The sequence below is a fragment of the Homo sapiens genome, chromosome 14 (assembly GCF_000001405.40).
Source record: "Homo sapiens chromosome 14, GRCh38.p14 Primary Assembly".
In the NCBI taxonomy this organism is placed as follows: Eukaryota; Metazoa; Chordata; class Mammalia; order Primates; family Hominidae; genus Homo; species Homo sapiens.
Genome location: NC_000014.9, coordinates 80,464,076 through 80,489,336, shown reverse-complemented (window position 1 = coordinate 80,489,336; position 25,261 = coordinate 80,464,076). Strand labels below are relative to the sequence as shown.

The following is a 25,261-nucleotide window of genomic DNA, read 5'->3' as shown; positions in this document are numbered from 1 at the left end:
ATCAATAATGTCTTACACTATTAGACCACAGACACTTGGTGTGTGACTTTTTTTTTTTTTTTTTTTTTTAGCTTTTACAATATTTAACCATATGTTTATTTCAGCTAGGTTTGAAAGTTTACTTTTACTAGGGGAAAATATTCTTTCCCTCTTGTTTTGCTTGGTGTTTTATTTGCATCTTCTCTCTCTCTTTTTTTTTATTATTATACTTTAAGTTTTAGGGTACATGTGCACAATGTGCAGGTTTGTTACATATGTATACATGTGCCAGGTTGGTGTGCTGCACCCATTAACTCGTCATTTAGCATTAGGTATATCTCCTAATGCTTTCCCTCCCCCCTCCCCCCAACCCACAACAGTCCCTGGAGTGTGATGTTCCCCTTCCTGTGTCCATGTGTTCTCATTGTTCAATTCCCACCTATGAGTGAGAACATGTGGTGTTTGGTTTTTTGTCCTTGTGATAGTTTGCTGAGAATGATGGTTTCCAGTTTCATCCATGTCCCTACAAAGGACATGAACTCATCATTTTTTATGGCTGCATAGTATTCCATGGTGTGTATGTGCCACATTTTCTTAATCCAGACTATCATTGTTGGACATTTGGATTGGTTCCAAGTCTTTGCTATTTTGAATAGTGCCGCAATAAACATACGTGTGCATGTGTCTTTATAGCAACATGGTTTATAATCCTTTGGGTATATACCCAGTAATGGGATGGCTGGGTCAAACCGTATTTCTAGTTCTAGATCCCTGAGGAATCACCACACTGACTTCCACAATGGTTGAACTAGTTTACAGTCCCACCAACAGTGTAAAAGTGTTCCTATTTCTCCACATCCTCTTCAGCACCTGTTGTTTCCTGACTTTTTAATGATCACCATTCTAACTGGTGTGAGATGGTATCTCATTGTGGTTTTGATTTGCAATTCTCTGATGGCCAGTGATCATGGCCACTTTTTCATGTGTTTCTTGGCTGCATAAATGTCTTCTTTTGAGAAGTGTCTGTTCATATCCTTCACCCACTTTTTGATGGGGTTGTTTGTTTTTTTCTTGTAAATTTGTTTGAGTTCATTGTAGATTCTGGATATTAGCCCTTTGTCAGATGAGTAGGTTGCGAAAATTTTCTGTGGGATCAGAGGTGATATCCCCTTTATCATTTTTTATTGCATCTGTTTGATTCTTCTCTCTTTTCTTCTTTATTAGCCTTGCTAGCGATCTATTGATTTTGTTGATCTTTTCAAAAAACCAGCTCCTGGATTCATTGATTTTTGAAGGGTTTTTTGTGTCTCTATTTCCTTCAGTTCTGCTCTGATTTTAGTTATTTCTTGCCTTCTGCTAGCTTTTGAATGTGTTTGCTCTTGCTTTTCTAGTTCTTTTAATTGTGACATTAGGGTGTCAATTTTGGATCTTTCTTGCTTTCTCTTGTGGGCATTTACTGCTATAAATTTCCCTCTACACACTGCTTTGAATGTGTCCCAGAGATTCTGGTATGTTGTGTCTTTGTTCTTGTTGGTTTCAAAAAACATCTTTATTTCTGCCTTCATTTCGTTATATACCCAGTAGTCATTCAGGAGCAGGTTGTTCAGTTTCCATGTAGTTGAGCAGTTTTGAGTGAGTTTCTTAGTCCTGAGTTCTAGTTTGATTGCACTGTGGTCTGAGAGACAGTTTGTTGTAATTTCTGTTCTTTTACATTTGCTGAGGAGTGCTTTACTTCCAACTATGTGGTCAATTTTGGAGTAGGTTTGGTGTGGTGCTGAAAAGAATGTATATTCTGTTGATTTGGGGTGGAGAGTTCTGCAGATGTCTATTAGGTCCACTTGGTGCAGAGCTGAGTTCAATTCCTGGGTATCCTTGTTAACTTTCTGTCTCGTTGATCTGTCTAATGTTGACAGTGGGGTATTAAAGTTTCCCATTATTATTGTGTGGGAGTCTAAGTCTCTTTGTAGGTCACTAAGGACTTGCTTTATGAATCTGGGTGCTCCAGTATTGGGTGCATATATATTTAGGATAGTTAGCTCTTCTTGTTGAATTGATCCCTTTACCATTATGTAATGGCTTTCTTTGTCTCTTTTGATCTTTATTGGTTTAAAGTCTGTTTTATCAGAGACTAGGATTGCAACCCCTGCCTTTTTTTGTTTTCCATTTGCTTGGTAGATCTTCCTCTATCCCTTTATTTTGAGCCTATGTGTGTCTCTGCACGTGAGATGGGTTTCCTGAATACAGCACACTGATGGGTTTTGACTCTTTATCCAGTTTGCCAGTTTGTGTCTTTTAATTGGAGCATTTAGCCCATTTACATTTAAAATTAATATTATTATGTATGTATTTGGTCCTGTCATTATGATGTTAGCTGGTTATTTTGCTCGTTAGTTGATGCAGTTTCTTCCTAGCCTTGATGGTCTTTACATTTTTGCATGTGTTTGCAGTGGCCGGTACCGGTTGTTCCTTTCCATGTTTAGTGCTTCCTTCAGGAGCTATTTAGGGCAGGCCTGGTGGTGACAAAATCTCTCAGCATTTGCTTTACTTTACTCTGTAAAGTATTTTATTTCTCCTTCACTTATGAAGCTTAGTTTGGCTGGATATGAAATTCTGGATTGAAAATTCTTTTCTTTAAGAATGTTGAATATTGGCCCCCACTCTCTTCTGGCTTGTAGAGTTTCTGCTGAGAGATCCGCTGTTAGTCTGATGGGCTTCCCTTTGTGGGTAACCCAACGTTTCTCTCTGGCTGCCCTTAACATTTTTTCCTTCATTTCAACTTTGGTGAATCTGACAATTATGTGTCTTGGAGTTGCTCTTCTCGAGAAGTATCTTTGGGGCGTTCTCTGTATTTCCTGAATCTGAATGTTGGCCTGCCTTGCTAGATTGGGGAAGTTCTCCTGGATAATATCCTGCAGAGTGTTTTCCAACTTGGTTCCATTCTCCCTGTCACTTTCAGGTACACCAATCAGACGTAGATTTGGTCTTTTCACATAGTCCCATATTTCTTGGAGGCTTTGTTTGTTTCTTTTTATTTTTTTTTCTCTAAACTTCCCTTCTCGCTTCATTTCGTTCATTTCATCTTCCATCACTGATACCCTTTCTTCCAGTTGATCACATCGGCTCCTGAGGCTTCTGCATTCTTCGCCTAGTTCTTGAGCCTTGGCTTTCAGCTCCATTAGCTCCTTTAAGGACTTCAGAGAAGGTGTTTCTTTGAAAGAGTACTTATTTATTGAGTAACTACAATGCAATAGGTCCCATTTAGAAGCTTTGCTAAGGATTCCCCACCCTTCTAGCTAATTGCAACAGTTAAAGTACTAAAATGTACAGCTCTTGCATAAATAACAAAACCAAGTAAATGGAGCAAACAGCATAGCTCCTCAAACTGTGTTTACAGTGTCTTCAGTGATTTTATGGTTTGGAATTTGTACCAAGTGGTAATGTAGATAATGTCTTTTAAAAACAGCCTACATGAATATACACATGCATTTTATTCCACCTGCTGTTATCTACTTTGGAAAAACTTCCCATCATTGGACAGGCACATACGCCAACAATTACATACTTCAATTCCTACGTTTCCTCAGCACTAGTGGCCTTCCACTCGAGAAAACATTATTTCCCTTAATTCAATCATCTATCCATTTATTCATTCATTGCTAAATTCTTGTGGACCTATTATGTGCCAAATCTTATTTAATTGGCTAAAAAAGTCTCTATTATATGTTACCAGTCTTAACCTTGTGATTTTTAAGAATTTCAGTATAATTTCTTTACTTGGTACGCTGATAAAGTTGGTTAGCTAGACCTATATGTTTCAGTATGCATATACTTCATAATTCCTAATTAGCAATGATAATAGTTATACACAATTTGAGGTTGGTATGACTAGACTTGACCATGCTAAACTTTCATTACTCATTCATATTTCACTGTTTATTGCTCTTCTCAGAAAAAGGAATGAAATTGGACTTTTGGAAAGGAAGAGGATCTAAAAGTTGTATATATTGAGATAATATCAAATAAGAGAGCCAAGACCCTCCCATTTTCCTTGACCCCTTTTGAGATAAATACTAAAGGTGAAGCCATACAACCGCAAAATGATTCTTCTTGTTTTGTTTTTGGGCAACCTTTACTTTCCAGAAGCAAGGATCTTGTGTGTATGTATGTGAAAATGTATCATTTGTTGGGTATTAAATGAAGATGATATTCAGATTCTCAGAACCATTACTGGATATGGGCTGAACTTCTCATAGACAAATCTCATGTGAGAACAATGCAGTTCTGGAGCCACTGAGAGACAGCTGTCCACAATGGCTGCCGTCTTCTGTCTGATGCTACCTTGATTCCACTGCTTTTGAGCTGTAGACAATGTGTTATTTCTCACACCAATGCCCACAATTGAGGTCAGATTTCTCTACCCTTTCCCTTTTGGGACTGTATTTCTTAGAGGAATGTGCAGTTGTAGACACTGGTACCACAGAACAGATATAGAAAAATTTTCCCGTGCAATATTCATGCCAGTAGATGTTCAGGCTAAATGTTCAATACCTTTCCAGTGTCTATTTCTCTTCTTGGAGAGTCATTACAAGTGAACTGGAAAAAAAGAAGGAATCTAAAGGAGAATAAGTTAAAATCTCCCTGTGGTCTGTAACCCTAGTGTTGAAAGCATGGATGTGAGTGGTATCTTCTTTTGTCCTTTCAAATGTGTATGAAATTACCTGCTTTCCTAAGGTGATAACTGATGCCTATCAAAGTGGCAATCACCAGAGTGAGATCCCTGTTCATTCTGATACTGATCTCAATACCATGACTTTACCTAAATGTTTGATCAATTTAACAAAAGCAATACTGCCTTTTACCAACAGAATAATTACTGTCGGTTGATAGCATCATGGGAGCTAATTCCCAAGTTACCTATAATTTGTGTGAGGACCCATGTGGTAACATTGATAACCCAAGTAGGTCTTGGTGAGGTCTGACCAAGGTAAATCATCACCACTTTGATATTTGCCATGCATTTTATAATTAGTAGCCAGAGGTCTAGCATATAGAAAAATTTGTATAAATAAGAACCAAGATTGGCTGAGTGCGGTGGCTCACGCCTATAATTCCAGCATTTTGGGAGGCCGAGGCAGGCAGATTGCTTGAGCTCAGGAGTTTGAGACCAGCCCAGGAAACTTGGTAAAAACTCCATCTCTATAAAAAATACAAAAATTAGTTGGGCATGGTGGTGCACGCCTGTAGTCCCATCTGCTTGAGAAGCTGAGGTGAGAGGATCGCTTGAGCCCTGGAGGTCAAGGCTGCAGTGAGCTGTGATTGTGCCACTGCACTCTAGCCTAGGCAACAGAGTGGGACCCTGTCTCAGAGAAAAAAAAAGAAAAAGGAATCAAGATTAGGGGTTTTATCATTTTGATACCATCACCTGTTAAACATCTTAACTTTCAATCAGTATTTTATCCAGAATCAGAAGCTTTAAAAGCTACATAGAAAATCGCCAGACATAACTAATGGTACCTAGAAAGCAGCTTATTTGTTAAATTATGTATAGCTTCTACAAACATGATTACTGTATTTCTAAATTATAAAATGTTTCACTAGACAGTAACCTCTTTGAAGAAAGGCATTGTCTTTTGCCTAGTACTGTGGCTGACATACAATAAGTGTTCAAAATACATTTACTAACTGAGCTAACTCCATCTATACTCTCAACCATCTTTCCTTACCACAGTGAGCAAAGAATGTTTATTAACTGGTTTTGGTAGCCAAATTTGCAGTCTTTCAGCACTTCACAGAACCACTAGCTTGACTGTATTCATTTAAATTCACATCGCCGTGTTGTTCTTGGAACTTCTGCCTGATAGTTTAAATCATGCCTTCAGTGCCATGAATGGCATGAAAACCACACCAATCAGATAGCATCCCTGTGTCACCACTATTAGCAACTAATTTACTGAGCATGAAATATGCTGATTTTGCCTTAAAAGATATTAGTAGAATATCTGTGCTGTCATTGCATCCATTATTTCTTTTGTGTTTGTGCAAGTCTACAGCTGAAGGCCTGAGTGTGTGTTGGCCGTCATATTTGTGGATTGTATCTGTCATCATCACATGCTTCCCCAGGACTATCCACTGGATGGTTAATGTGGAACAAAATCCTTGAGATTGTAATGTTGCTCCCTTAAATTCTAAGTTGGCTTTGCAATGTGGGTTTTTAGGGAAGGTGGAGAGACTCATAATGATAAATAACATCAGTTGTTCCCTGATTGTTGACTTTTCAATGTCATCCTCAGTAAGTTGTGCTTCACCCCCTATAGGATATGGCAGGTCAGTCTTTGCTGAGCTTTCTCGACCTGCCAATATTTGGCTAATGTACAAGCCGATTGTGGTTTGGTTGCCTATTCATCCCACCAGTGATCCTTTATTTTAAGATATTTGGCTTGAGAAACTTGCTTAGCTCACAGGCCAATTTCTTGTCATTTAGCGATTTATTTTCTTACTTGGGCTAAGCGTCTGCTATAAAAATCACTTAGAATTGTGTACTTCTGTCCCTCTTTGTTTCTTTACCTTTACTATTTCCTCTCTCTCCACATTGCCTTTGCAATTCACAACCCTTTCTACTAAAGTGATGTTTGGCACATTTTGAAGTTTAGGTCATAAAGTTTGAGCTTCCCAAGGTTCGGCTTTTTCAGCTGATATGTCTGGTGATGCAGTGTTGCTGAAGCAGTGGATAATGTGCTTTTCATGTGTCTTGTCGCTCATATTAACAAAGCTTCCTAGGCCCTATGCTATAGTTAGATGGTGCCAGTTTTTTAGTATAGATACCATAATGCAACTTGATGCTTGTCAGCCTGATAAGAGTGCTATTGATTCTAAGCTTCTGGTGCATGCACAATGAAAGAAACTGTATGCCTTTGGACTTCATGTTACTGATGACATTATAACTAAGAAAGTGCATACTACACTGCATGGTTCTGGACAACACAAGCATTGGAATAGTCAAGAACCGTATGCTTCTTTGTCTCTATAGCAGTACATCAGTAGTAGCTGATATAACATCAGTGACTTTTGTTTTGAAGTTATCCAACGTACTAAACATAGGAAAAGACACCACCAATCAGTGACTACTAAAAGCCCAGCTCTGTAATAAATACTCAGAAATATGCAAAGGAAGTAGCATTTCTGCTGTTATAGTTGTTTGGGTAAATGTCAATATTTAGTGAATGAATGCAATCTAACAGAAAAAAAAAATAAGATTCTCTTAACTCCTGTCTTCATAAAAAAAGGAGCAGCACTTTTTCTTTAAAAAGCGATTCTCCCACCCAAACTATATTTAACTCTCTTTGTCCCTTGACAAGGTACAGCTGTACCAGAATTTTGGTCAGGTTTTAAAAATAGAAGTTCCTAGGTATTAAGTCTACCTATTTTACTGCTAGAGAATAATCTTATTTATTTTGTCATCCCAGATAATATTAAGAATTAGTCTAATACTCTTTTTAGGTTTAGATACTAAAGTAGGAATTGGGCTATTTAAGGTGAACTAGGATCACATACATCTAAATGGATGGATTTAAAACCACAGTGTCTGGTTGGCTATCCTGACTACTGTAAGGGGATTAGTGTTAGGTCCAGAGAAATCCTGGCTGTGTCTGTCACTGTTTGCCATGTGACATTGAGCCTGCCATTCACCTCTCATGCCTCTTTGCTGTTAACTGAGGAAGTTGAATAACTGGGTCACTTTCCATTTCTAGAGTTTATGAATATACTGTTGAAGTATACAATAACATTCTGCACTGGATTAAAGTGGACAATATATAGTCTGAATCTCTACTGCAAAGCTAATGCTAAGAGAGACCAAACCATCTTTGAATTATAAGCCTTGTGGTATGGTTTGGCTGTGTCCCCACTGAAATCTTAACTTGAATTGTATCTCTGAGAACTGCCACATGTTGTAGGAGGGACCCAGGGAGAGGTAATTCAACCATGGGGGCCGGTCTTTCCCATGCTGTTCTTCTGATAGCGAATAAGCCTTACGAGAGCTAATGGGTTTATCAGGGGTTTCTGCTTTTGCTTCTTTCTCATTTTTCTCTTGCTGCTGCCATGTAAGAAGTGCCTTTTGCCTCCTGCCATGATTCTGAGGCCTCCCCAGCCGTGCAGAACTGTAAGTCCAGTTAAACCTCTTTTTCTTCCCTGTCTCGGGTATGTCTTTAGCAGCAGCATGAAAATGGGCTAATACAGTAAATTGTTACCAGCAGAGTGGGGAGTTGCTGAAAACATACCCGAAAATGTGGAAGCGACTTTGGAACTGGGTAACAGGCAGAGGTTGGAACAGTTTGGAGGGCTCAGAAGGAAACAGGAAAATGTGGGAAAGTTTAGAACTTCCTAGAGACATGTTGAATGGCTTTGCCCAAAATGATGATAGCAATTTGAACAATAAAGGTCCAGGCTGAGGTGGTCTCAGGTGAAGATGAGGAACTTTTTGGGAACTGGAGTAAAGGTGACGCTTGTTATGTTTCAGCAAAGAGACTGGCTGCATTTTGCCCCTGTCCTAGAGATCTGTGGAACTTTGAACTTGAGAAGGATGATTTAGGATATCTGGCAGAAGAAATTTCTAAGCAGCAAAGCATTCAAGAGGTGACTTGGGTACTGTTAAAGTCATGCAGTTTTATAAGGGAAGCAGAGCATGAAGTTTGGAAAATTTGCAGCCTTACTATGCAATAGAAAAGAAAAACCTATTTTCTGGGGAAAATATCTCCAGGCCATGTCAGAGACCTTCTCGGCAGCCCCTCCCATCACAGGCCTGCAGGCCCAGGAGGAAAATATGGTTTCCTGGGCCAGGTCCAGGGTCCCTTTGTTGTATGCAGCCTAGGGACTTGATGCCCTGGGTCTCAGCCACTCCAGCCATGGCTGAAAGGGGCCAGTGTATGGGTTGGGCTATGGCTTCAGAGGGTGGAAGCCCCAAGCCTTGGCAGCTTCCACGTGGTGTTGAGCCTGCGGGTACATAGAAGTCAGGAATTGAGGTTTGAGAACCTCTGCCTAGATTTCAGAAGATGTATGGAAACACCTGGATGCCCAGGCAAAAGTTTGCTGCAGGGGCAAGGTTCTCATGGAGAACCTCTGCTAGGGCAGTGCAGAAGAGAAATGTGGGGTCAGAGCCCCCACACAGAGTCCTTACTGGGGCACTGTCCAGTGGAGCTGTGAGAAGAGGGCCACCATCCTCCAGAATCCAGAATAATAGATTTCACCAACAGCTTGCACCGTGTGCCTGGAAAAGCCACAGACACTCAACACCAGCCCATGAAAGCAGCCAGGAGGGAGGCTGTACCCTGCAAAGCCACAGAGTGGAGCTGCCCAAGACCATGGCAACACACCTCTTGCATCAGCATGACCTGGATGTGAGACCTGGAGTCAAAGGAGATCATTTTGGAGCTTTAACATTTGACTGCCCCACTGGATTTAAGACTTGCAATGGCTGTATTTACCCAATACCTGAACTCCTATTGTATCTAGGAAGTAACTAGCTTCCTTTTAATTTTACAGGCTCATACGTGTAAGGGGCTTACCTTATGTCAGATGAGACTTTGGACTGTGGACTTTTGGGTTAATGCTGAAATGAGTTAAGACTTTCAGGGACTGTTGGGAAAGCATGATTGGTTTTGAAATGTGAGGGTGTTAGGTTTGGAGGGACCAGGGGCAGAATGATACGGTTTGGCTGTGTCCCCACCAAAATCTCAACTTGTATTCTACCTCCCAGAATTCCCACATGTTGTGGGAGGGACCCAGTGGAAGGTAATTCAATCATGGGGGCCTATCTTTCCCGTGATATTCTCATGATAGTGAATAAGTCTCATGAGATTGGAATGGGTTTATCAGGGGTTTCCGCTTTTGCTTCTTCTTATTTTTCTCTTGCTGCTACCATGTAAGAAGTGCCTTTCACCTCCCACCATGATTCTGAGGCCTCTCCAGCCATGTGGAACTACGAGTCCAATTAAACCTCTTTTTGTTCCCAGTTTCAGGTGTGTCTTCATCAGCAGTTTGAAAATACCCTTGTTTTTCAATGTTTTATTCAATAATGAACTGTCTGTAAAATCATTTTACTTGCATAATCCACCCTCCACCTCCTTTTTACATGTTATATTTTGCTTAAAAATAGCATAAGATTAGAATCCTACCTCTTGCACAACTTACTAATTGTGCGATTTGGGGTAATTTACTTAACATTTCTGAGCTTCATTTTTCTTATTTCTATAAAGGAATGAATTGCATCTGCCTTAAAAGAGCTGTTAGGAGACTTACATGTAATGGCTCATGAAAAGTGTCAACCTCAGAACCTGGCACACACAGGCTCATCATAAATGTTTCTTACTATCTAGGCCTGATCCACTTCATCCATAAACTCTGAGGTTCTATCTCTATTTATTAATCAGCAACAAATCACAGAAGCTGTTGAACAATGAGTGACAAAGCTAACTGGACTCTGGAATTAGCATATTTATTCTGTTAGATTGCATTAATTTATCAAATATTTACTGAATGCCAGTTCAGATACATAGAAAGAGATATATTGTTATAAGCATATCTTCAAATCTACCTATGTATCAGAGAAGGGGATGTTGATACTCTGTACCTAACGTGTATCATCTGCTATATGCAAACAGTATTCGGAAGAGCTTTAAATATTTTAACTCAATCCTCACAACAACCCTATGAGGTTAGTATTATTATCATTTTCATTCAAGAATGTATCTTATATGAGGAAATTGCAGGACAGTGGGATTGAGTAACTTACCCAAGATCACATACTGGTAAGCATGGGACCCAAATTTGAATGCAGACAGTATATGTTGCTTCAGAATCCGTATGTTTTGTCACTCAGCTACATATGCAAAGTGTCATTTAAAAATTATTTTAAAGAATCAATGACACCAATGAGTTTTTTTCTGTCTCTCATAGAGGGTGTTTTAAATAGCATTTCCAGGAAAGGAAGGCTGGAAGGCTGCTGTCAACCACACTACACTGCTTAAATCTCGTGGAGCCATGATGGTGCATCAGGTTTTGCTATGCCTATCTTCTCTGCAACCCAAGAGAGGGAACAAAGAGCAGCCAGGTGGGATTAGATGCTGGGGGCTTAAGCAATAACTGACTCCATTTTCTGTTTCTACACTCCAGCCAGTGCCAAGTGATTTTTTAAAAATTTAAATACTTTTCTGCCCTATCAAATACAGGGTATACACTACTGAAAGAACGCTCTGCTAGTAAAAAGTGTTTATTGATTCAAGCAGAAAAAAGGGGGGAAAAAACTGTGGGTGTCAGATGAAGCTGAAGGGAAGTATCCAGGAAGAGAGGGAGGAATGGGGAGCTTTTCTTTTGAGTGTCCTATTAAAATGTGTGAGTGGAAGTTGGGGGTGGATTTCATGAGTAAATATGGAATTTTGCCACCAAATTCTTTCCTCCAGAGCTAATATTCTCATGGGATGTTAATATTAATACAAGGAAAAAGGCCCTGGGTGAAGAAAAATTATTTTCCCCTTCAGGGGCAGAGTTCTCTCAGGACGACAGTGAGGTTAAAGAGTTCCAGAAAATGCTAGTAGAACTTTAAGCACGCTATCATTAACAGACAGAAAAACAGACTACAACCTACTGGATTCATTTTGGAAAGTAGAAAAAAGGAATCTGGTAAAATCAGCCAAAGCAAGGACCTTTCCCCCTCCTTAGAACTCGCTAAGCTTTCCATGGTGTGTGGGCCTTTTAGTTCCACTCATTATTCAGGCCTAATTCAGGTCATCAAAATAGAAATGCATGGGACAGGTGACTGACATGACTGCATCGTGGTTTAGATGTATAGATAACACGGGGAGGTGCTTTACATTTTAAGACTTTGTTCATAATTCTTTTATTTATGGTTTCTCTGAATCATTCTTTTGGAACATTCTAAAAGAGCCAGAGGAAAAAAATGGAACTTTTTCTCAAGGGACTTGACTTAGTGGATAGCTAAATGTCCAGTTTCAAAAGCTTATCCTTTTGAAATGCTTTTATACTTATAAAAGCCCAAAGAAACCTTAATATGGGCCACATAACTATAATGTAATTTTTCCAAGGTAGGAAAGGCAGTAATACTGTACTATTAGAATATATGGATTTTCATAAGAGCAGCTGTTGTTTCACTAAGGTTTACATTATTTTAGGTCCTAGTTTTCTGTTTGGAGGTGTATTAATGAGTTCCTTGGTTAATTTATTCCCATTCTCTATATTTCTGATTCTTAATTGTATGATGTGGTTTATATTCATTGTTTTGACGTGATAGGAATGCCAACAATGTGCCTTTGGTTTTCTTATGCTTAAAAAATAAAAAAATAAATAAACATTAAATGTAAAATCATGAAGGATTCTTACGAACAGTTGTATGTCCTTGACTAAATTTTTTTTTTTTTGAGACAGAGACTCACTCTGTCACCCAGGCTGGAGTGCAGTGGCACCATCTGGGCTCACTGCAACCTCCGCCTCCTGAGTTCAACCGATTCTCCCACCTCAGCCTCCCGAGTAGCTGGAATTACAGGCGCATGTCACCACACCCGTCTAATTTTTGTATTTTTAGTAGAGATGGGGTTTCACCATGTTGGCCAGGCTGGTATTGAACTCCTGACCTCAAGTAGTCTGCCTGCCTTGGCCTCCCAAAGTGCTGGGATTCAGGCATGAGCCACCATGCCCGCCCTCTTGACTAAATTCTTTAGCCCTGTGTGTACCTAATGTTTTGCATGTGGGCAGTTATCTGAGTACTTACTGTGGGATAGTTTACAGAACTGAACTTCAATTTCAGTTACACTGGATATAAATGAGCAATATAAAAAATATAAACAAGCCCATGAATGAAGACTTTCCTCTGGGCAATTTTAAGCCAGTAATGTATAATCAACTGAAAAATAAGCTTGTTTTATACCACATTTATGCTAAGACTTACCACACAGTGGGAAATAAATAACAGAAAGTAGGTACCTTCAGGTATATTTATAGGCTAAACCTATGAATCTTTGGTTAATAAAGCAATTCTTCTGATGCTTTGAATACTTGGGACTTGAGGGTTGCAGTTAATTGCATTAAATTAGGATGATGAGAAATGCATTCTGGCTTCAATTCTTCCAGTTGGAAATCTTCCTAAAATGTATGAGTAGATTTTCTCAACTAGCAAGACAATGAATTTTATCAGTCTATTTTTTCTGATTTAGACCTGGCAAGCCTCAGGGATATAATTCTCAATATCAATCACCATTGCACAATATGATACACAGGTAGAAGATAGAAGATGAAACAGATGAGGCCATCTGTATTATTGGCCTCAGAATAGTGGTTAATCCGTCAGTCACCACAAGGACTCTATTATAGTCCTTCGCCGTGCAGACTGCTGGAGGAGATATAAAACTATCATAACTATTTGCTTGTACCTTTTAAGATATTTAGCAGCATCCTTGGGCTTTTTGTTGTTGTTGTTGTTGTTGGAAGAGCAGAAGTAACAGACATACTTCCTGTACGTGGAACACAAATTCAGAAAATGGAAAGAGCAGAGGTCAAAGAAGATTTTATAGAGGAAGTAGGTTATGAACAGAATCTTAAAGGATGTTTAGTGTTGCCAAATCAACCCTAAGTGCTTGATGAATAAGGGGGTCACTGTTTTGACCAAAACTGTTAAATAAATCATTTAACAGTTTTAATATAGCTTACTGAAATTTTTCTCGTTAGTTACCATTAAAACTCTTAAATGATTCATGAAGATTATTGAAGACAAATTCCTCTTAGGACCTAGGCATACCCTCAATGTTCACCGTGTAGGTAGATGTGGAATTTAGGGGCCAAATTTCACTTTTCCCCAGTATAATTTGTATATGACCTACCATTCAGTAAAGCTATTTCTCCTCCACTTTATCCTGCTTCATCTTCTCTTTCTAGTCTTCTTCTTTTTCTTGCCCGCTGTTTCTTCATTCTTCTTCCTCCTATATTATTTTCTTCACATCCTTCTTTCCCTTTTCAGGTTTGGGTGATATAGGCCTGTGAGAAGAGAATCCACAGTCATAAACAATGTACTGTATTAGTCATCCTGTGGCCTCTGAAACAAATTACAAACTAGATGAGTTAAAACACAGAAATGTATTCTGTCACAGTTCTGGAGGCCAGAAGTCCAAAATCAGTTTCACCAAACAGAAATGAAGGTATCACCTCCACAGAAGAATCGATCTCTTGCCTCTTCCAAGTTCTGGTGGCTGCCAGCTTCGGTTTATGGCTGCGTTACTCCAATCTCTGCCTCTGTGGTCACATGGCCTTCTACTCTTCTCTGTGTGTCAGATCCCCCTCTTACAAGGACATTTATGATGCTATTTAGGGTCCAGACAGATAATCCAAGATAATGCCCTGAATCTCAAGATCCTTAACTTAATCATACCTACAAAGATCCTTTTTTTCAAATAAGTTAACATTTACAGGTTCCAGGGATTAGAGAATTGATATGGTATGGCTCTATGTCCCCACCCAAATTTCATCTCAAATTGTAATCCACACATGTCAAGTGGGGAACCTGTAATTCCCACGTTTCAAGGAAGGGAAAGGGAAGTGATTGGATTATGGAAGCAACATCCCCCATGTTGTTCTCATGATAGTGAGTGAATTCTCACAAGATCTGATGGTTTTATAAATGGCAGGTTTTTTTGTGCTTACACATGCACACTCTCTCCTGCTGCCTTGTGAAGAAGGTGTTTGCTTCTCCTTCTGCCATGATTGTAAGTTTCCTGAGGCCTGCCCAGCCATGTGGAACTGTGAGTCAATTAAACCTCTTTTCTTTATAAATTACCTAGTCTTGGATAGTATCTTTATAGAAGTGTGAGAATGGACTAATACAGTAAGTTGGTACTACGAATGGGGCACTGCTATAAAGATACTGGAAAATGTGGAAGCGACTTTGGAATTGGGTAGCAGACAGAGGTTGGAACAGTTTGGAGGGCTCAGAAGAAGACAGGAAGATGTGGGAAAGTTTGGAACTTCCTAGAGACTTGTTGAATGATTTTGACAAAATACTGATAGTAATATGGACAATGAAGTCCAGGCTGAGGTGGTCTCAGATGGAGATGAGGAACTTATTGGGAACTGGAGCAAAGGTGACCCTTGCTATGCTTTAGCAAAGAGATTGGCAGCGTTTCGCCCCTGCCCTAGAGATCTGTGGAACTTTGAACTTGAGAGAGATGATCTGAAATTGGAACTTATGTTTAAAATGGAAGCAGAGCATAACAGTTTGGAAAATTTGCAACCTGACAATGAGATAGAAAAGAAAAACCCATTTTCTGGGGAGAAATTCAAGCCTGCTGTAGTAATTTGCATAAGTAACTAGGAGCCAAATGTGAATTGCCAAGACAATGGGGAAAAAATGTCTCCAGGGCATGTCAGAGACCTTCACAGCAGCCCCTCCCATCACAGGCCTGGAGTCCTAGTGGGAAAAATGATTTCATGGGCTGGGCCCAGCACCTTGCTACTTTGTACAGTCTTGGGACTTGGTGCCCTGCATCCCAGCTGTGGCTAGAAGGGGACAATGTACACCTCAGGCTGTTGCTTCAGAGAGTGCAACCCCCAAGACTTGGCAGCTTCCACATGGTGTTGGGCCTGCAGGTGCACAGAAGTCAGGAATTGAAGTTTTGGAACTTCTGCCTAGATTTCAGAGGATGTATGAAAACACCTGCTACAGAAGTCCAGGCAGAAGTTTGCTGCAGGGGTTGAGCCCTCATGGTAAACCTCTGCTAGGGCAGTGTGGAAAGGGAAACGTGGGGTCGGAGCACCCACACAGTGTCCCCACTGGGGCACTGCTTAGTGGAGCTGTGAGAAGAGGGCCACAGTCCCTCAGGCCCCAGAATGGTAGATTCACTGACAGCTTGCACTGTGCACCTGGATAAGCCACAGACACTCAATGCCAGCCCATCAAAGTAACTGGGAGGGGGGCTGTATATTCCACAGGGGTGGAGCTGCCCAAGACTGTGGGAGCCTACCACTTGCATCAGCATGCCCTGGATGTGAGACATGAAGTCAACAGAGATTTTTTAGGAGCTTTAAGTTGTAATGACTGCCCCCCCGCTGGATTTCAGACTTGCGTGGGGCCTGTAGCTCCTTTGTTTTGGCTAATTTTTCCCATTTGGAATGGAAGCATTTTTCCAACGCTTGTACCTCCACTGTATCTTGGAAGTAACTAACTTGTATTTGATTTTACAGACTCATAGGTTAAAGGGACTTGCCTTGTCTCAGATGAGACTTTGGACTTGGACTTTTGAGTTAATGCTGAATGAGTTAATGTGGGGGTCTGTCCTGCAGACCCTGACCCAATGATGGATGAATAACATACACTGACACAGATATTTTGCCTGTCAGTCCAGCTGAGGGTCCAGGCCACCTACAGACACCAAGGAGGGTGCTGTAGAGTTGCAGCTGTGGCCCCAATCAGCCAGCAAAGCTCACATTTATTCAGTATAGATTAAATGACAAAGGTCTTGAGTAAACACCACTAGAGGGTAATTGACACTGCCCACCTCCAGAGTAGAAGCAATTATGCACCTGTGGTTGATCAAAGGTTGGTTTTAGGACCACATGAGTAAAGAAGCTATTTAGATAAATTGCTCTACATTCCTTTGTATCTGTGCCCTAAACTATTAACTCAAGGTAAGGATTAGGCTGCCTTCAGCCTGATCTATTACTGGAGCTTATGCAAACCAACCCCCAACCAGCCTTCCAAGAAGGTTTGTGTCTTTTTCTTATAACTATCTTTAAAATTTTTCCCACTGAGAGGTGAAGCCAGCTGGACTTCCTGGGTAGGGTACGGACTTGGAGAACTTTTCTATCTAGCTAAAGGATTGTAAATGCACCAATCAGCACCCTGTAAAAATGCACCAATCAGCACTCTGTGTCTAGCTAAAGGATTGTAAACGCACCAATCAGCACTCTGTAAAAACGCACCAATCAGCGCTCTGTGTCTAGCTAAAGGATTGTAAATGCACCAATCGGCACTCTGTAAAAAGTCACCAATCAGCGCTCTGTGTCTAGCTAAAGGATTGTAAACGCACCAATCAGCACTCTATAAAATGGACCAATCAGCGGGATGTGGGTGGGGACAAATAAGGGAATAAAAACTGGCTATCCCAGCCTGCAGCAGCAGCCCACTCAGGTCCCCTTCCATGCTGTGGAAGCTTTGTTCTTTTGCTCTTCACAATAAATCTTGCTGCTGCTCACTCTTTGGGTCCACACCACCTTTAAGAGCTGTAACACTCACAGCAAAGGTTTGCGGCTTCATTCTTGAAGTCAGCGAGACCAAGAACCCACCGGAAGGAATAAATTCTGGACACGCCACCAGCCTGTCTGAACTCCCACATCTCTCCCTTTTCTGTTCTTTGCATCGGGTTCTGTTGACCGAAGGGTACAGATGTGTGCAGCAACAGGTCTGTCAGACGAAGTGGTCATTCCTCTTATTCCAGCTTTGTATCCTAGAATTAGCAAATAACATAAGACAATCATGAGTATAATTAGCAACATTCTTTTCCAGTCAAAGAGTGACCCCCAGGAGCAGGGGTCTAACCAGGAGAGATGATCTTGCCTGCTCTTCCATATGGCTGTTTGTTGGGTGTGTAGATGTATCGTGTGAAGGGATTCTAAAATTTCAGTTGTAAGTTGCTTTACGTCTGCTGTTAAGTTGTAATGAAAGGTTCCCCAGGGGTATTGTTTCACCTCATCCCAACTATGCATTGATCGATTCCATGGTAGAGAACTGACATAGATATGTTTATGCTCCCAGTCGCAGTTTAATTGTTGACAGAATGCCAGTGCATCTTGTCACTCCCCCACATATTCCAAGACAGCCTCAAGGGCTTGCAGACTTGCAGGAATCTTTTGATCTGTACCCTGCTGTAAGAGAAGTTCATTAGACACATTTTTGGCCAAATTATCTACAAAAACAGCATTTGTACTGTTTCAGTAATAGATGCTACAGCCACACTAGCAGTTGCTAGGATAACTATGGCTGAGACTATAAAGGCTGTAAGTGTGCCTATGAATCTTTTGGGTCTGACCTGGGATAGGGTACATTCTAAGGTGGCAAGGGCAGAGGAACCTTGCCAGTCGTGTGTCAAATTGACTGATAGGAATGCCTCAGATTGTCTCCTTAATACCATGGCACTAGTAATATTTAAATTAGATATATTATAATTAGTGATACATGAGACAAACCAAGCCTGTTCCTGCACCTGGGTCACAAATGCAGAGTTTTGGGTGTAATGGAAATATTAGTTCCCATAAGGAAAACATATGGATGGGTAGTGCAAATTAGGCACTGATCAGTGTGATTATGAATAAAGGTTATAGTATAGTTGTTACTGGAATTATGATATGTCCCATGCCAGGTGTCAAAGGAAGTACTAAGATGTCCCAGTCACCATAAAGTGTCTTGAAGTGGGATGGACTTTACTTGGGGTCTGGGATATCCCATCCCCCCATTGGCCCAAATCACAGGGGGATGGAACAAGGCTATGAAACTGTGATTGATGCCATGATGGATGTGGACATCAGTAAGGCTGTCCTGCAAATGGCCATGAGGGTTCCAGTCTAAGGTGTTATAATTGCCTAACTGGAGGCTACAGGCTTGTCCCCTGTGACAGACCTCCCAGCTAAAGTGGAATTCATTACTTTCCTGGCTTTGTTCTTTAGCACAGGAAGGAATGTTTGGGAAAGCAACATTGATTGAATTACCCGGTTTGAGGCTACCTGCAGCTAAGACTGTTAAGGCATTTCTTTTGCCATGATGTAGCCATAATTGTGTTTGAGCAGGTACACAGTAAGGGTTAGAACCTTTATAACTTAACGCATAGTGGGAGGATATTGGAGTGATACTTATTGTTATCTGGCATCTTAGTCCAATGTGTGCCATTAATGAGGGACCCCACTGGGGGTAAATCTATCCCTCCTAGCCAAGCAGTCACGTTATTAAAGCCTGGGAAGGGGGTGTCTGCCTAGGTGACAGGACTAAAGAAAGGCGGATCTAAGATATGAGCCCAATAGAGTGTAGCAGGTACAGGTTGCAGACAAAGCAAGGGCCTAAAAAGGAGCAATACCCTATGTGAATTGCAATGTACAACAGACAGCATAGCAAGGAACAAATTATCTGAAGTGAATGGTGTCTGTGTCTGGAGCGGGATTCATTCAGCCTCCTGAGTTGTCCTCTTCAGCATACCCCAGGTAATGTCCGGGGCTTTTGTCGTCCACAGAAGCCACATCGTCCAGGGCTGTGGGTCCTGTAAGGTCAGTTCCTTCATTTCTGGTACCGGGTTGGGTCCTAGCCATGCCATGGTATGGTTTGATGCATCATGCTGGAATCTAAAGAGGACCTGAGGGGGTGTGGACAGAAGTGTACCCTCTTCCCCAAGTTAGTAATTCATTTGGACCACACCATATATTACTGTTTACATCTTTCCATAAAACTGCAGGTTTTATGTCTTGAGAGGTTTTAGCAAAGTGCTTTTCTACAGCTGATTGAAATTTGTCATCTAAATTTTAAAAATTAAGGGTAAATAAGGCTTGTGCTAGTAGCGTTGCAGGGTCTTTACCCATACTCCCCCTCTTCTGTTTTTTGAGCATATTTTTAAGGGTGGAGTGGGCACGTTCTACTATGGCCTGTCCTTGGGGGTCATATGGGATGCCTGTGGAATGTTGGATATCCCATGTGTGACAAAATTGTTGAAATTGTGAGCTGACATAAACTGGACCGTTATCAGTTTTAATTTTTGTGGGCCATCCCATAAATGCAAAAGTTAAAAGATGTTTAATGACATATTGGGTGGAATCTCCAGGCAAAGCATGGGCACTAATTGAGAATTGGTATCAATGGATACACGTACGTATCTAAGTTTTCCAAATTCGGGGATGTGTGTAACATCTGTTTACCGTAACTGATTAGGTTCTAGTCCTCTAGGGTTAACACGTGTTGAAGGTGGGGATGCGCCTGTGAGCTGGCAATCTGGGCATTGCAGGATAATTTGTTTAGCTAGTCTCTGGGTGAGTTGAAATTGTTTAGATAAGTTTCTCTAATTTTGGTGTAAAAATTGATGTGATTGGGTGGCTTGGTCAAGCAGTGATGTCATAACCTGAAGGTCTGCTTGATCATTGCCGTAAGCCAATAGGCCAGGCAGTGAACTCTGGGCTCAAAAATGTGTGATAAAAATAGGATGTATACACTGATCTAGCAATTGCTGAAGTCTAAGAAAAAGAGCACACAGGGTGGGCTCCAGAGTGGACTTAATTAGGGCTGTTGCAAGGTTCTGCAATAAATAGAGTAGGCATAGTCGCTAACAATATTGATGGGCTGAGCCGAAAAAGTTTCCAAGGCCAATATCAGGGCCCCAGTCTCAGCTCTTTGAGTGCTAGTAAATCCAGATCAAGTGAGTGAATTATGTAGTCTCCAAAAGACTGCCGCCTTTCCATGTTTACCAGATCCATCAGTAAACAGTGTTAAAGCATTAGGTATGGGGGAGTGAACTGTTTGTGTAGGCAAGATCACAGGAGTACAAGATAAGAAATGAAGGAGTTTGTCAGCGGGAAGGACATGCTCTATTTGTTCTGTGTAATCAGAGAGTGCTATTTGCAAGTCCATCGATAAGGGCAATACTGCTTCTAACTGCTTTTTACTTAAAGGAATCCTGATGATATTAGGATCATAACCTAGCAACTGACTGCATCATTTGCAGCCTGAATAGATGACTTTACTAAGTAACTGGATATAGGGAACTAGTGTTTTAGTCCTGGTATGTGAGCAAAAACAAAAAAACCATTCTAGAAAGTGCAGTCCTGGGGTCTGTGGTTAACCCTGTAGGGGAGTGTTTGGTGGGAAAGATAAACATTTGAATTGAGTAGCCTGGATCTATGCTATCTAGGTGCCTCTGAGAGATGGTTTATTCTATTTCCTCAATTTCCCTTTTGCTGCAGGGGTTAAATATCTGGGAGAATCTAGGGCTGTATTGCCCTTTAAGATAGAAAACAGGTTTTGCAGCTTATCCGTAGATATACCCAGAGTAGGGCAGAGCTAGTTGATATCACCTAGTAATTTCTGATCATCATTTAAGGTGTGTAAGTTTCTAATATTTAATTTAACATTTTGAGATCTTACTGACTGGGAAGTTAGTATGTACCCACGATATTTCCAAGGAGAAGACATCTATACTTTCTCGGGTGCAATGATTAAACCTTTTAGCTATGTATTCTTTATGACAGAGGTAAATACATTTAAAAGCATTGGCTCCATTGGGGCTGCTAGTAGAATATCATCCATAAATGAATAACCTTGCAATCAGGAAATTCTTTTCTACTGGGTAGCAAAGCTTGATTTACATGATACTGACACATGGTAGGACTATTTAGCATTCCTTGAGGAAGCACTTTCCAATGAAATTGACAAGCTGGCCTTTCATTATTGATAGCTGGTATTGTAAACGCAAATTTTTCTCTGTCCTGTTCTGCTAAGGGAATCATATAAAAACAGTCCTTCAAGGACAGAAAACCAAACACTGTATGTTCTCACTTACAAGTGGGAGTTGAACAATGAGATCACTTGGACACAGGGCGGGGAACATCACACACCAGGGCCTCTTGGGTTATGGAGGGCTGGGGGAGGGATAGCATTAGAAGAAATACCTAATGTAAATGACGAGTTGATGGGTGCAGTAAACCAACGTGGCACATGTATACCTATGTGTCAAACCATGTTGTGCACATGTACCCTAGAACTTAAAGTATAACGAATATATATATATATATATATATATATATATAAATATAAAACAGTCCTTTAAGTCAATAATGATTGTAGGCCAATCTTGAGTAATCACCATGGGGGAAAGGAGCCCCTGCTGAAGGGGTCCCATATGTTGCAAATTGACATTAACAGCACGTAAGTCATGCAAAAGTCTCCATTTCCCAGACTTTTTGGGAATGAGGAAAATGGGCGAATTCCAAGGACTATTAGATGGTTCCACATGTCCAGCTTTTAATTGCTCTTCAACTAATTCATGGACCCTCTGTAATTTCTCTCCCTTCAGAGGCCACTGTTCTACCCAAATAGGATCTTGAGAGAGCCACATCGGGGTAGGGGAAGAATAATAACAGTGGCCCTTGTTAGAAAGGGGTCTGCAGAGTGACCCCCATTGGGCTAATGGGTCCCATCCCCAAAGATTAACAGGGATGGGCATGATTAGAGGTTGCATAATTGCCTTTCTTCCTTCTGAATTGCAACATGTTAGGGGGCACGTTCTCTGCTTGGCTGTGTGCACTTCCCCAATGCCGACAATTTTTTGTTTCTGAGTGACCCAAGCCCAAGTTTCTGGCCAGTTTTGATCACTAATAATTGAAATGTCCGCCCTTGTGTCCAATAAGCCAGTAAAATTCTTATTTCTAATTTCTAAGGTAATCATGGGTCTCTGGTCAGTGATTAATTGATTCCAATATACTCCTGTGTCTCCTGTGCTTCCCAAACTTCCCTTCCCCTTTCCTTTCTGTGGGCTTTGGGGACCTAGTATGGTAAAATCAGTAACTGAGCTGTCTTTGATCGAGGGGGAAGAATATGCAGACCTTTACATTCCATCTTAACCTATATCTCACCTTGGTAATCACTATCAATTACCCCAGTGAGCACATTAATTCCTTTACCAGATAAGCTAGACCACCCTAGGACTAATCCCACTGTTCCCAGAGGCAGTGGGCCCCAGATCCCAGTTGTAACCCTTTTAGGGTCTTCTTCTTTAAGCACTAATTCACTGGGGCAGAGTAAGTCCAGTCCTGCATTCCCAGTGGTGCCTGCTCTGAGAGAGAGGACTGTGGACTTTCCATCTGACCAAGGAAAGCTGCTGGCGTTGCCCATTTGTAGCGGGGCCTCATGAAGTTTCCTACCTGGTTACTTATGGGGTTTCCGTTTTTTTCAAATTTTGACCTGCATTGATTTGCCTAATGTTTCCCCTTTTTACATTGGGGGCATATAGAAGGGGGTTCTTTCCTGAGTTACTTTGGTCTCTACTATGGGGGCATTCCTTGTTCATATGACCTGGCTTTCCGCATAGGAAATAATTTTGGCTTCTCTCCCTTTTTACTTTAGGAGCCCTTAATGCCATAGCCAATATTTTGGCTTTGTGTGTCTCAGTTCCCACCAGCTGACATGGTTGTATAAGTTCCCTGACTGTGGCTGCCTTTCCTCTGATTGCCTGCATTGCTTGCTGGCGATCCACATTAGCATTTTCAAAAGCCAGTTGCACCAATAAGATATCAGTGGCCTGGGCGTGACTAATTTGTCTCTTATTTGCTTTGGTTTACCGATTGATAAACTCAACACATGGCTCCTGAGGCCCCTGTCGAACATTTATAAAAGATCCCTGTTGAACTCCGCTTTTGGGAATTCAGTCCCAAGCCCTGAGAGCACACAAAGACACTTGAGCATAGGCCTGGGGATCAAAATCTAGTTGTTGTTGTACATCAGCATGGGGACCCCTCCCCTGGAGCATAGCAGCTGTTATGTCTTGCCTGTCTGCCTGATTCTGGTTGGCTTGTTGTTCACACAACTCATCATATTCTGCCTTCCAAAGGAGGTATTGGCTAGGGTCCAAAGTTGTTTTAGCTAGCATTGACCAGTCCCATGGGGTCATACGGAAGTTGTCTGCCAAGTCCTTAATTATTCCTTTTGTAAATGGGCTAGTGGCTCCATTTTCTTTAATGCTTTTTCTTAGCTCTTTATAAGCGTTAAAAGAAATGGGTTCATGTTGCTGATTGCCTTGTCAGTCTTGCACTACCAGGCAGGCTGAAAGCTCCCCTTCTAATGCCGCTTGCTTAAGGCAAGGTCCCATAGCTGGAGTGTGTCTCTTGTCTTTTTTCCTATTTATTGGAGGAGGAGGTTCAGGCAAGACCTCTGTTTCCTCTTTGTTATTTTTCCCCAGTGATAGCAGGTCTGAGGGACTCAGGGGTGGTAAAGTATGTGACAGTTCCTCCTCCTTCACCTTTTTAGGCTCTTCTGTGTATAGTGGGACCAAAGCCGCCCTTACTAAGGCCCCTACGTTAAAGATGATACTGGGACCCATAGACCTTACACCTGATGTTGTTTAAGATTTGTTCCCACTTGTTCCCAGAGCTCTACATCTAGTGTGCCTTCTTTTGGGAACCATGTATTATGGGTTACAACAGTTTTCATTAGATCCCTTAATTGAGCCTGCGAAACCCTGGCTCCACTAGCCTTAAGCAGCGGTTTCAATACTTTTATATACTATTTCTGTTGCACTGATAACTGTTGTCCCATGATGAAACCTCAGCCTGAACAATCCCCCACCCCTGGACTAGGAAATTCCAAGCAGGCACCACTGACTTACTGACTCACTGACTCTGCGGTCCTTTTCACCTTCATTTTGGGGGGTCCGTCGTGATCCTTCGCAGCATTCCTCACACGGAGCGCCAGCTGTAGGGGGTCTGTCCCGGAGACCTTGACCCAGTGACAGATGAATAACGTACACGGACACAGATATTTTGCCTGTCAGTCCAGCTGAGAGTCCGGGCCACCTACAGACACCAAGGAGAGTGCTGTAAACAGTTGCAGCCGCAGACCAGCCAATCAGCCAGCAAACCTCGCCTTTATTCAGCATAAATGACAAAGGTCTTGAGTAAACACCACTAGAGGGTAATTGACATTGCTGACCTCCCAAGCAGAGAGCAATTATGCAGCAGCAGTTATCAAAGGATGGTTTTAGGACCACAGGAGTAAAGAAGCTATTTAGATAAACTACTCTACGCCCTAAGCAATTAACTCAAGGTAAGGATTACGCTGCCTTCAGCCTGATCTATTACTGGAGCTTATGCAAACCCCCCTGGCCTTCCAAGGTTTGTGTCTTTTTCTTATAACTATCTTTAAAATTTTTCCCACCAGCCTGACTGAACTCCCACAAGCTAAGACATTGGGGGACTGTTGAGAAGGCATGATTGGTTTTGAAATGTGTAAGGGACATGAGATTTGGAGGGGCCGGGGGCAGAATGATATGGTTTAGCAGTGTCCACACCCAAATCTCAACTCAAATTGTAATCCCCACATGTAGAGGGAGGGACCTATAATCCCCAAGTGTCAGGGAAGGGAAGTGATTGGATTATGGGGGTGGTTTCCCCATGCTGTTCTCGTAATAGTGAGTGAATTTTCACGAGATCTGATGGTTTTATAAATGATAGTTTTTCCTGTGCTCACACACGCATACTCTTTCCTGCT

General features: G+C 41.4%; 1 protein-coding gene across 3 annotated transcripts in view, besides 1 other annotated feature; it reads left to right on the top strand.

Annotated features, from left to right (window-relative positions):
- CEP128 (centrosomal protein 128) overlaps positions 1 to 12,368 on the top strand; it is a 482,534-nt gene extending 470,166 nt beyond the window's left edge. For all 3 annotated transcript variants that reach the window (XM_047431023.1, XM_011536493.3, XM_011536491.3), the window contains one exon: positions 10,930 to 12,368. In XM_047431023.1, coding sequence (XP_047286979.1) covers positions 10,930 to 10,931 — 2 coding nt within the window. In that variant the 3' untranslated portion in view covers positions 10,932 to 12,368. The remainder of the gene's footprint in view (positions 1 to 10,929) is intronic.
- Positions 24,365 to 25,056: an enhancer, noted in NCBI's record as "OCT4-NANOG hESC enhancer chr14:80930624-80931315 (GRCh37/hg19 assembly coordinates)". NCBI's record gives its function as "activates a minimal SCP1, AML or CMV promoter by ChIP-STARR-seq in naive and primed H9 embryonic stem cells {active_cell/tissue: H9 hESC(naive and primed)}" and the evidence as "EXISTENCE:reporter gene assay evidence [ECO:0000049][PMID:30033119]".